The sequence below is a fragment of the Homo sapiens genome, chromosome 7 (genome assembly GCF_000001405.40).
Source record: "Homo sapiens chromosome 7, GRCh38.p14 Primary Assembly".
NCBI lineage: Eukaryota > Metazoa > Chordata > Mammalia > Primates > Hominidae > Homo > Homo sapiens.
The window spans coordinates 121043685-121056931 of NC_000007.14; the positions used below are offsets into that span (position 1 = coordinate 121043685).

The 13247-nt window shown below is 36.6% G+C and overlaps 1 protein-coding gene and 1 pseudogene across 5 annotated transcripts in view; both read left to right on the forward strand.

Moving 5' to 3' along the window:
• CPED1 (cadherin like and PC-esterase domain containing 1) overlaps positions 1 to 13247 on the forward strand; it is a 308732-nt gene that overhangs the window by 54974 nt on the left and 240511 nt on the right. For all 5 annotated transcript variants that reach the window (NM_024913.5, XM_047420856.1, XM_047420857.1 and 2 more), the window contains one exon: positions 3203 to 3309. In NM_024913.5, coding sequence (NP_079189.4) covers positions 3203 to 3309 — 107 coding nt within the window. The remainder of the gene's footprint in view (positions 1 to 3202; positions 3310 to 13247) is intronic.
• HMGN1P18 (high mobility group nucleosome binding domain 1 pseudogene 18) lies at positions 7105 to 7719 on the forward strand (annotated as a pseudogene).

The following is a 13247-nucleotide window of genomic DNA, read 5'->3' on the forward strand; positions in this document are numbered from 1 at the left end:
TGGAGAACATGTGGGAAGTGGCTCCAGCCAGTCACTGCCTTGTAGGATATGGACCCAGTGTTACCAGAGCTTCCAAGTTTTCAAATAAAGGCTGAAATTGGAATTTTCTATGTGAATTGTGCTGACATTTGCATTTTGGCAAATACTTAAAACAAAAACAAAACAAACGCTGTGCAGGCCAAATGTATCCCGTCTGAGGGCTTGACTTGCCTGTGTGCTTTTAGTTTGCAATCTCTGCTGGAGACCTTGGGCATTTGCCTCCTAAATGCTCATGCTTTCAGCTGTGAAATTTGGCTCCAAAGCCCCGCAATATATAGTAATTTGTAATTGTGCTGAGGTACAAATTTGTATCCCAAATGCTCCAACGCTAACTTCTCAATGTGATTTACTTAGCTAGTGAAAGCACTTTGATCTCTGCCCAGTTTCTACATTTCAATGTGGCTTTAGGGTTTCTTTAACTAAATTTTAATACATAGTAGCTCTCATGAAACAAGTGAAACTTCATTAAAAAAAGAAAAAGGGCTTTGGAAAGCAGGAGAGGGAGCTGACTTCTAATGTTGGAAATAGAAATGAAGACAAAGTGAAAAGGTCTACTAAATGTTTAACTAGGAAATAGCTTTGGGGACATTGAAGTGGGATTCAATGCGGGTAACAGTGGGAGTTTTGAGAGGAAACAATCGGCATTTTTAGACCGTGCTAGCAAGCATTTGGGAAGAAGGTGTATGAAGATATTACTTGAAATTTCAGTTACACTTTACTTCATTTTAAGAGGAGATTTGTGGACTATACAGTATTTTTAAATTATTAATTTAAAATATTAATTAAATATCTTTGAGGGATGAGGTGGTCACCCTTATGAATGGCAAAAAGCTGTGTAATGCTTTGTAAGTTATCTTACTTTCTCCTACTTTGTTTTTAATGTTTAGACCCCTCAAAGAGATTGCTGAGAGCAGTGACTTTCTGCTCTTTTTTTTTTTTTTTTTTTGCTATTTACTTTCATACTTTGAGTACAATGTTCTGTTCACAGAAGGTTCTTTATAAATTCAATGCTTTGAATTATTTAAATGTGTCTTCCCATTTTAAACATTTATAGCTTAAATATATATTTCTATCAACTCTAGAATTTATGCATGTGCCTTGAATAGTGAAGAAGGGTACGCTTTAGACGTAGAGGAATATAAAACTTACTCTGAGACCAAAACACTGCAGGTCATGATTTGAAATCCCTCTGTGCATATCCTTATCTTCTTAAAATATTTAGTTGGGAATCATATGACAGGAGGTTTCTTCTAGGGTTCTAGTATTTCCTGGGCTAGAAATGATATAGAATGAAACAGTCTTTGTGTTTTGCTTTGAATCCAAATCAAAAAGTTTGGGATGAAAAAGCCAGGTGCACTTTTAAAATAAAGTATTGGATTCATCATATAGTATTTGGTTTTGTCTATAGGAATCTATGGGAACTTTTCTTGAAAGTGAGAGTGTATGGAGCAGGGTAGATCTTACAAGCCTAAGGCCTGATGGTTGCTGCACGATGAGATTTCTCTCATCCCCAAATCAACTGCTGCACCTCTCCTTGCTCCTTTGCCTTATTGTGCTGTCTTCCAGCATCTTGAGATACATCAAGCAAACAGAGAAGTTCTAGGATAAGAGCTTGAGTTCAATTGCCTGGATTCCTTGTTTGGCAGACAGGTTTCCCTTCCAACAACAGGACAATTAAAAACAGAGGAACCAGTAGCCCAGACAACACAAGATTTGTGAAACTGAAAATGACTTGATTGGTGGGGAGTGAAATTTCATTTCTAATTTTCATAGATCCCTCTTCCTTATTAATACTTTTCTCATAAAGCCTTTCTTTGGAAATATTATGCTTGTCAAGTGAGAAATTCTTTTGAAAAATTTGAAAAGCGAGGTATTTAAAGAAGTTGGTTACTTTGTAGCCTTTTAGAAGCTACTAGACCTAATGCAGGAGATGACTGGTGAGGTCTGGCATAAATAATTACTCAGAATATTTATCTCAGGACTGATCAACAAAAGAGAGAATGTATACAGAAATTGTTTGTTTTTTAAATTGGATTTTCATCCAAAATGAGGACTATTTCCTAAGTAATACCAATTCATTTAGACATTACCCAGAGGGGTTTTTTCCTGGTTATTTTTGAGATACCTATTTCTATATTATCTTTGAATAACATTAAAAATTGAAATACATTTCTTCTGTTGCTTTTATTGTTGTTTTTTCTCCATGAGGTAATGTGTTTACCATGCTCTCAAGGGGTAGTTATTCATGCATTAGTCAAGAAATATTTTTAAAGCACCAATTATATGTAGGGCATGTGATCTATATCTATATGTAGATATAGATATATAGATATATAGCAATATATATAAATCAAAGTGAATAAAGAAAAATAAACCCATGTATACACACAAATGTTAATTTTAAAATGTTTAGAGATTAGGCAAGAATGTACCCTTCTGAGATTATTTTGGCAAGTTACTATGATTTATTGGCAAATAGCTTCGTCCTTGGTGAAATAGCTGAAATATCATTTGCTTTCGTCTGTGTTATACTCCATAGTTTGAACTGAACTCTGCTATGTATAACTATATTACAAATTTCTTTTATGCAAAATCTGTCGTTTTTATTTTCATTGAATTTAATTTTCTCTCTATTACAACACTTTCTTTTATGGAACATCACAAAAGTAAATTTGATGTTTGACGAGTAAATCTATGAAAAACAGTGGGAAGACCTAAGCCCAGAACAAAATATTTGATGTTTTCACTTCTTATCATTATTTGACTTCACAGCTTTCTTCTATCTTAAAAGATTTTATTATTTTTTCTCCCAAATCTACAAAAAAAGACTTTATTAATTTTTAAAATAAGTGATTTAAGGTATTCTAATTTCAATCTTTTAAATGAATTTTATAATGTCTTTTAAATGAATTTTATAATATGTATAATATAGACAATTACATTTTCTATAGAATAAAATACTAAATATAAAAATACTAGAAATTCCAAAATTTAAAAAGTTGAATTTTAGTTATTTTACTGACATTTTGTCTTAAGTATATTTGAGATCATTTACTTGTGTTTCAGAATTTAAATAATTACATTTTTTAATCTGAAGAATTAAATATTGCTTTTAAAATATCTGATGAAAACTTATTTGTTTTGAATATTCTTTTGCTTTTAGGTGATCTGGGCTCTTGGGATCTGCTCATTTGCCTGTCTTCTAAGAAAGCAGAAGGAACACCCTGTATATCCAAGGAAGTCATGTGCCAGTTAGGTTTACATCAAAAGGTAAATACTCTCAAGATGTGCACAGATTTTATCAGCCCTACAGATATTAACACTGGCATTTCCTGGTCTATAATGTTTAAGAGTCTTAAAGAATTAGAGTCATTGTATCTATGGAGAATCTTCCAACTGGCCATGCCTTATATACTTTACCATAAAATAGTCACCACTTTTTGTTTGATAAGATCTCCCTCAGCTTCAGCTGCTGCAGATATTGTTGTTTTACTTAGTAAGACCCAACTTTATCTAGAAGTCTGCAGCCTATGAAGTGTTGCTTAATCTGACCACTTGTTCACCGAAGTGGTAAAGTCTTTATTTTTTAGATGCCTTTTCTAATTTTTTTTCTAACTTAAGTTGGTATCATAAGTTACAATAAAATTTATAAAATTTCTAATTACATTTTAAAATTGACATTTAGTACTTACTCTTTATATCGTGTGAACTTTTGTAAATGGTTTTAGAAAACTTAACTAAAAAAATCCAATGTTTACCATGTGCTAATCACTGTGCTGGAAAATTTACATATTGTTGATACCTATAACGAATCTGTACGAAAAGTGACAAATCCAATAGCTCTTATACAGTCCCTAACTGGAGATGGAGTATTGTACCCAGATCACTTGATATTCCTACAATTCGCCATCTAGATAGCACCTTTCTTCTTCTTCTTCTTCTTCTTCTTCTTCTTCTTCTTCTTCTTCTTCTTCTTCTTCTTCTTCTTCTTCTTTTTTTTTTTTTGAGACGTAATCTTGCTCCATCGCCCAGGCTGGAGTGCAGTGGCGCGATCTCGGCTTACTGCAAGCTCCGCCTCCTGGGTTCACGCCATTCTCCTGCCTCAGCCTCCGGTGGTAGCGGGCGCCCGTAGTCCCACGCCCGGCTAATTTTTTTGCATTTTTTAGTGGAGATGGGGTTTCACCGTGTTAGCCAGGATGGTCTCGATTTCCTGACTTCGCGATCCGCCCGCTTCGGCCTCCCAAACTGCTGGGGATAACTCCTTTCTTCTAACTCTTCACTTTTTTGGCATTTGGGCTGAGCACACGCTTTTGTGACTCCATGTACATTTCTGGCCATTCCTCCTCTGTTTTCTTTACAACCAACTTTTCTCTGCCCATTCTTTGAATCCCTGTGTTCCCTAACTCCAATCCTGAAATTTCAACAACCATTTGTAGTTGAGATTCCGAAATCTACCTAGGTACAGAGCACGTTTCCAGGCTTCAGGCTTGAATATGCAACAGGCTGCTGAACATCTGCACCTGGATGTCCCACAGACATATCAAACTCAACCTGGCGAAAACTGACTCATTCTTTTCCTCAGTAAATTCTCTCCTGCTCTTGTGTTCAGAAGCTTCAGCGCTTCTGTTTCGTTTGTTGTAAGCAGAATCACCCAGTCTGTCATCTCCCAAGATAGAAATTACCCACTTTGTCATCTCCTAAGATAGAAGGGCCATCACCCTTGAGCCCTTCCTTCCTCTTCCTTGGCATTGACCTTCTATTAATTGCCAATACTACTGAATTTAACCTCTTAACGTTTTTTTTTCTTCTGTTCTTGTTTTTGTTTTGTTTTTTTGAGACAAAGTCTCCCTCTGACACCCAGGCTGGGGTGCAATGGCGTGATCTCACCTCACTGCAACCTCTGCCTCCCAGGTTCAAGCAATTATTGGGCCTCAGCCACCAAGTAGCTGGGATTACACATGTGTACCACCACGCCTGGCTAATTTTTATATTTTTAGTAGAGACGGGGTTTTGCTGTGTTGACCAGGCTGGTCTTGAACTCCTGGCCTCATGTGATCTACCTGCCTCGGCCTCCCAAAGTTCTGGGATTACAGGCCTAAGCCACCATGCCAGGCCTATCTCTAAACATTTCTCACATCTGTCATCTATTCTCTGTATTTACTACCTTTATTCTGGTCAGATAATCATCATCTCTTACCTGGTTTATTGCTAAATCTTGCTCAATGGTTTTTCTGAAGCAAATATTTTACCCCTGAAATCTATCCTACTCACAGTTTTGAGATGAAAAATATAAAATGGTGAACTAGCCTTTTTACATCTATGCTTACAATCTTGAATGGCTTCTCATCAACCCTAGAATAAAGTCTTAATATTTGCTTTGTATTAGGCTTCCAGGAAGAATCAAATGCCATACTCATAAAGATGTATCTGAAGACAAACTAATAAAGAAACTATTTACAGAGGTTTTGGCAGGGAAAAAGAAACTAAAAGGCCTAGTGAGGCACTTGGGAACTAGCAACATTATAAAAGTTTCACTACACTGGGTCGTAAGAGGGATGTGTAGAAGGAAGGGCATAGCTAGAATCCAATGAGAGCTGCAACCAAGAAGGAGGTGTCCTTGGAAAGGTGTGGTAAACTTAGGGGAGTGTAGCTTTTGCCATATCACAGACCTGCAGAGAGGGAGCCTTGGGGATAAACACCCCACCTCTCTCTACTGCTACCCTCCAATCTCTTGCCAGTGCCTCCCATTGGTCCGAGCTAACTGCTGGTCAAAGGGCAAGAGATTCTCTGTGATGCCACCCACAAACGTCAGCCTCCTGGGGGACAGAGCAGGTGGCAGAGACCTGGAGGGCCAAGTGGTGAATATTTAGCACAATAAGCTATTCAAGGTTTTTTGTGAGTGGCTTTTGCCTAACAATACCCTTTTCTTATCTGTTTCTAACTGGGTGTCATGCTGCAAGTGATATGAAACTGCTTACTGTTCCCTAAATGCCTGTGCTGTTTTGTCACATACCTTTATTCTTACTGTTTTGTCTGCCTGGAATGCTCTTTCTCAGTCCTCTTTGCCTCAGTGATTTTCAACCAGGGAAAGATTCTGTCTCTTCTAGTAATATTTGGCGATGTCTAGAGATAGTTTTGGTTTTGTCACATCTGGGGGGATGTTTGGTACTGGCATCTATAGGTTAAAGCCAAGGATGCTGCTAAATATTGTATAATGCCCACAACAAATACTTGTGTGGCCAAATATGTTCATAGTGGCAAGGTTGAGAAACCTTGATGTGTTCCCTTGCCTTAAAATCAGCTGCTTAAATCTGTTACACTCAGCACCACTATCACCTCAAAAGCTCCAAAGCTTCTGTTTTGTTGGTTATAAGTGGAATCACCCACTCTGTCATCTCCTAAAATAGAAATCTGGCCTTCATCCTTGAGCCCTTCCTCTTCCTTGTCATTTACAATTGCAAATACTATGGGATTTATCCTCTAAATATTTCTCAGATCTGTTATCTATTCTCTGTACTTACAACCTTTATTCTGCTTACCTGGATTTTAGGCAGGGCTTCCTTGCCTTTCTCTCGCTATATACTCATACAAATCCTCATTCATATCTCAAATTCTATACTTATCACATGGTTTATTTTTTTCTTTGTCGTCCGCAAATGCACATCAGGCTTCACCAGCTAATGAGGACAAATGAGGTCACATTGGCATTAGTATTGGTATTTTGGGGGCAATATAGGTTTTTTTTTTTTTTTTTTTTGAGATGGAGTTTCACTCTTGTTGCCCAGGCTGGAATGCAATGGCGCAATCTCAGCCCATTGCAACATCCGCCTCCCAGGTTCAAGCAATTCTTCTGCCTCAGCCTCTGGAGCAGCTGGGATTACAGGCGTCTGCCACCACACCCAGCTAATTTTTTGTATTTTTAGTAGAGACGGGGTTTCACCATGTTGGCCAGGTTGGTCTTGAACTCCTGACCTCAGGTGATCCACCGCCTCGGCCTCCCAAAGTGCTGGGATTATAGGTGTGAGCCACCGTGCCCGGCCACAGGTTGTCTTAAGTAGCTTTCTGGTGGGTCTCAGCAGCTCAGGCGGCGGGAGGAGCGGCAGCGGCCAGGCAGCCCAGCTTCGCGAAGGCTCTCGGTACGATGAGGCCTGCAGGCACCTGGCACGCACCCTCCTCGTCACCAGGATGCCCAAGAAGAAGGTCATGAAGGGACCATCAAGGAAGAGCCCAAGAGGAGATTGGCGCAGTTGTCAGCTAAACCTGCTCCTGCAAAAGTGGAAGCGAAGCTGAAAAAGGCAGCAGCGAAGGATAAATCTTCAGGCAAAAATGTGCAAACAAAAGGGAAAAGGAGAGCAAAGGGAAAACAGGCCAAAGTGGCAAACCAAGAAACTAAAGAAGATTTACCTGCAGAAAACGGGGAAATGAAAACTGAGGAGAGTCCAGCCTCTGATGAAGCAGGAGAGAAAGAAACCAAGTCTGATTAATACAGTATACCATGTCTTACCAGCAGTCCCTGACTCCCCTCTTGTACAATCCAGAGGAATATTTTTACCAATTATTTTGTAAATGCAAGTTTTTTAGTAGCTCTAGAAACATTTTTAAGAAGGAGGGAATCCCACCTCCTCCCATTTTTTAAATGTAAATGCCTTTTTTTTTTTTAGAGGTAAAATCATTTGCTGGTTGTTTATTTTTTTGGCACAACCAGAAAATAGTGTGGGATATTGAATTATGGGAGGCTTTGACTGTCTCGGGTGTCAGCTTAACATTCCATAGATGGGGGTTAGTTTTTATATCCTATAAAACAAAGCATATTAAATGGAAATATGAAGTCAGTCCTGCATTTAATGTCTTGAACATTTTAAATTACTTCTATGCCCTTGCTGTTTTTTAGTAGAATTGTTTTCCAAAGAAAACCACTCCTTGATCCTGGCTTCTCCCTGTCAGAATTGTGTGCACTCTGTAAGATCTGTGGTTGTGGTAGTCCTGTTTTCCTAATAACGTTGTTATGCTGTGAAAGATTAAAAATTTGAATATGTAGTGTATATGCTATTCAGTTGTGAATTGGTGAAATGTATGTAACAGCTTATCAACATGTGAAGATATTGATAGCCCCTTAAGGAAAATTTGCTTCCAAATTTTAAGCTGGAAAGTCGCTGGAATAACTTTAAAAAAGAATTACAATACGTGGCTTTTTAGATTTTCGGTATGTATGTTAAGAATTGTGTACAAGTTTAAGTGTCTGTACTGATCCACATCCAATAAAATCTCAATTATGAAAGAAAAAAAAAAAGCTTTCCCATCTATTTCGCTAGCAAGTGTCTTCCACGTACTTAGAAACAGTGTTTTTGGTATGCTGTTTCAGACCATTACACCAAATGCATTGAGGAACACCCCATACTACTTTGGCTGCCACTGATGGCTCCTGTGATAGTTATGTTCCCAACCTGGGGTGCAAAATCTCTCCCCACAGCTGTAAAATTTTTGAGATGCCCAAAGTCCTTGCATTCATCAGTCCTATCTGAATTGAAACTAGACTTCATTCAGTATAGACCAAGGTGAACATTATTCTATTTAACTCAGTTCTTCACTTTGTTTCCTGAGCCCCAAAACATACGGTTGGCACCTGGACAACACGAAGTCACACGAAAACTCTTCCCGTGACTCTTTTGTCCCCTCTCCTTGGGCTTTCGTGGTCAACCCTTTGCGCCATCACTCACTAGCTAAAGGATTTTGATCACGTTATTTAATCTCTGTAGCCTTCACCATCTTTTCCTGAAATAAGAAGGCATTAGACACCGGACAGTCTCCAAGACACTTGCTAGCTTTATGATTGCGTGAGTCACTGGAGGCGAGTGGAATATGTGATGAGAAGAGAACAGAGCAGATCAGCCAGTGATGACAATGGAGAAGGTGAGAAGGGGGTTATGGGTGAAATAGGTAGAGAAGGAAATTATAAAGTACAGCGTCAGTTATGCTGATATTCTCTTTTAAAAATTTAAATTTTTATTGTTTTTGGGAGACAGAGTCTCACTCTGTCTCTCAGGCCTGGAGTGCAGTGGCGTGATCTTGGTTCACTGCAACTGCGGCCTCCTGGGTTCAAGTGATTCTCACGCTCAGCTTCCCAAGTAGCTGGGATTACAGGCATGCATCACCACACCTAATTTTTTTTATTTTTAGTAGAGACTGAGTTTTGCCATGTTGGCCAGGCTGGTCTTGAACTCCTGGCCTCAAGTGATCCGCCCACCTTGACCTCCCAAAGTGCTGGGATTACAGAGGTGAGCCACTGTGCCTGGCCTTAATTTTTAATTTTGTCATAATTTTAGACTTACAGAAAAATTGCAAAAATAATACAAAGATTTTTCCAAATACCTTTCACTGAGCTTACTTTAATGTTAAATCTTACATAACCATGGTACTTTCATCAAAACTAAGAAATTAATATGGATACGAACGGTTAACTCAGTTATGAACATCATTCAGATTGCATCTTTTAAAAAAAATGTTTGCCCCTTTTCTGCTCTAGGAACCTATCTACTACCCTTCATTGCATTGAGTTTTCATATCTCCTTACTCTCCTTCGATCTGATGCAATTTTTTTTTTCTTTCAAGACCTTGACATATTTGAAGAGTACTGGTCAGGTGTTTTGTGGAATGATCCTCAATTTGGATTGGTCTGATGATTTCTTCATAAGGTTATGAAACTTTGGCAAGAATTTCTTGGAAGCAGTCTACCCTTCTCAGTGTAAAATATCAAGGGGCATATGATGTCCTTGTCTCTTGTTACTGGTGATGTTCACCTTGATCACTTGGCTAAGGTGGTGTTTGTTGGATTTTTCCCCATATAATTCATAAGCATCTTGGGAGATAATATTTTGAGACTGTAAAAAGATCCTGTTTTTCTTCAAATTTTGCCCTCTAATTTTAGGATCCAGAGGTGGATCTTGCTCCCAACAATTTGTATTCTGGTGTTCTAATGGTGATTTTCTATTTCTCTTATTACTTTCATAATTATTAATTGGAATTCTTCTGTAAGGAAAAGCTAGTTTTTCTCCCGAATTTATTTATTCAATAATTTATTTATGTCAGTATGGACTAATGGATATTTGTTGTATTCTATAGGTTATAAATCAGTACTATTGTTATTAAATTTTTTGTTGTTGCTCAAATTGTTCCAGCTTTGGTCATTGAGAGCTTATTCATGTTGACTCCTGGCCCTTTTGACATGTCATGTGTTCTTTCCTTGGACATTTCCTTACTGTTTAGCACCAAGAGATACTCCAAATTCATCTTGCATTTTTCCTGTCCCAGGCTGGAATTAACCATTTATCCAGGAACCCCATTCCTGTTATTGCAGAATGATATTTAAAAACAAAGATCTGGGTACTAGGTGTGCCCATTGCTACTAGGGTGTCATTGAGTTTGAGCTCTCTCAGCAGAGAGGGCTTGGAAATATCTGTATGTCTACTAATCCATGCAAACATACACTTGTATTTATTTCTGTGTCTGCCTCTATATGTACATATTAAAAAGCTGATTCTTACCATACCCGTGTTTGCCATCCAACACCACAAGGTTTATTATAGCCTTCTGCTGTCATCATTTGTAACTTCTTTCTCAGACAGTGAGAAAATTGGATCTCATTTACATCATATTTCCCTATTGTTTAACCCTAGCATACCCATACATTAATTTCAGAATTGTTAACCTATACCCCTGTGAGAAACAAATTTACTAATAAAAGTGAACGTTTTGTGTGTGGTCTTCTTGTCTTTTTGTCTAATAATATTCAGTCGAAATATTATTTTCTGAAGGTAGGGCATATCTTTTCTCCTCACTCCCTTCAGTGTGGCTATGTCATTCAGTAATACAGTTAGGGTCATTTGCTGCAATTTATGTATTATTTGAGTCCCCAACCTCCACCCCCACTGCAAATCAGGGTTGAGGTTTTTTTTTTTTAATTTGCATGTAGTAAAATTCATTATTTGTGGTTTATAGCTCCATGGGTTTTGACAAATGCATAGTTATGCATCCATCCTCACCCGTCAGTCATGGCAGAATGGTCCCATTATCTCCAAAATTCACTTGTTCTGCACCTTTGAAGTCATCCCCTCCTGTGATCCCTACCCTTAACAGTCACCACCGACTTATTTTCTGTCCCTATTGTTTTTTTGTTTTGTTTTTGTTTTCTGTTTGTTTGTTTTAAATAGAAGGTCATATAAGTAGAGTCATATAATTTGTAGCATTTGGGTCTGGCTTATTTCACCTTAGCAAACTCATTTAAGATTCATCCCTGTTGTGTCAATTAGCAGTTTATTCCTTCTTATTGATGAATAAGATTCAATTTTATGGATGTACCACAGGCTGTTTATTCATTCAAAAGTTAAAAGACATCTGGATTTGTTCCAGTTTATGGCCATAATGAATAACACTTGCCATAAACCTTTGCATAGAGGTTTCTGTATGAATATAACTTTTTCTCTCTTAAGGGTGATTCATTTGGTAAATACATGTTTAACTTTAAGAAACTTTAAAAACTTTTAAATTTAAAAATTTTTAAAATGTTTTAACTTTAAGAAGCTGCCCAACGTTTCTATAAATGTGGCAAGTTGCAGTTCCTTTTATTTAAAAAATAGAGAAAGTCACACATGATAAATTTCCTGCCTTCAGGGTTACTTTACAGTAAATTAATTTTTTAATCTTTCTGTAAGCATATCATTTATTTCAAGCTTTTATCTGATTGTGAAGCAATATTTACATAGCAATCACAATAGTTAATCACACTAAATGTGGGTATATTACACAAACACTAACACAAATTACAGGTGTGACATAAAATATAATTATATGTGTAAAAATATAGATATAATAAATAATTATGATATAATTATACATATAAAATATAATTATACATTCATATAGTTCAGTTTTTTTCTGTTGTTGCTAGTAAAAATTCACTCTATTATTTGTTGATCACAAGGCCCATAGTCAATACTTTGTTTTAATGAATGACTTGAGCAGCAAAGCCTATAAAGTACATTTATTTAAAGACAATTGTTTTATAGAGATGTTTTGGAAACTGTTAGAAAATACAATTTCTCCCAGAAATGAATAGAAGTACACTTGTTTCCTGGATATTTCAAAAAGGAAGAAATCAAAAATAGAAACAAAAAAATCAAAATTTTGAATGTGTTTTATCTAATAATTCTATTTCTTGGAACTTACATATTATTCTTTCTGGTCAGAGGATTGAACAATTATTATGATAATAGTGTTACTTATTATAGTAAAAAATTGGAACCAAAATAAGTATTTTGGAAAAATAAATAATGCATATGAAACTCATACATGATTAATCACATGGAAATGCTCAGAATATGAGTAAAATAAGCAAATCAGAAAACAGTTTATATGTTCCAAATCCAAATTGTGTTTTTTAATATGTGTAGAAAAATACTGAATAACTGAAATGTTAGGAATGGTATTTATTTCTGGTTGGAAAAATTATGAGTGATTACTGTTTTCCTCTTTACATTTAACTAAATATTCTATCATACATGTATGTTAGTTCTACCATCAGGAAAAATACTGTTTTAGGGAAGGGCAATCTCCTATTTAAAATAAGTTTACCTTGTTAATTCTTATTAAAAAAGAAAAAAACAACAAACATTCATAGTTGAATTGATTTGGCAGTTGGATGAGGCAATACCATTATTTTCTATTCATTTAAGTATGCTAGTTGTGAATCACTGCTTTAGCAGACAGTCCTAAAACCTTTATCCCACACTCAGTACCTTTTCCATTCTCTCTCCACATCCCCTTTTTATGCTTTACTGTGTTCTCCTAATTCTTATAAAACTTTAGCTAAAATAGTGACAATGAAAGTGTCAATAACATTTACCATTGTAAGTTTTCAAATCTCCTCTGGGATATGTTCTTATATTATTTCTCTAATCATTTCTCCATTCCCTTTCCTCTTTTTACTTTCTGGAACTTCTATTTGTCATGGGTTAAACCTCTTGGTTTGCTCTCTAATTCTCTTTATACCTGCTTCACTTTTAAAAAATTCATACATCATGTTTGTACATATTTATGAGGTACATGTGATATTTTGTTTCATGCATAATATGTGCAATAATCAAGTCAGAGTATATAGGCTACTCAAAACCTTGAGTATTTATTATTTCTATGTGATAAAAACATTTCAAGTC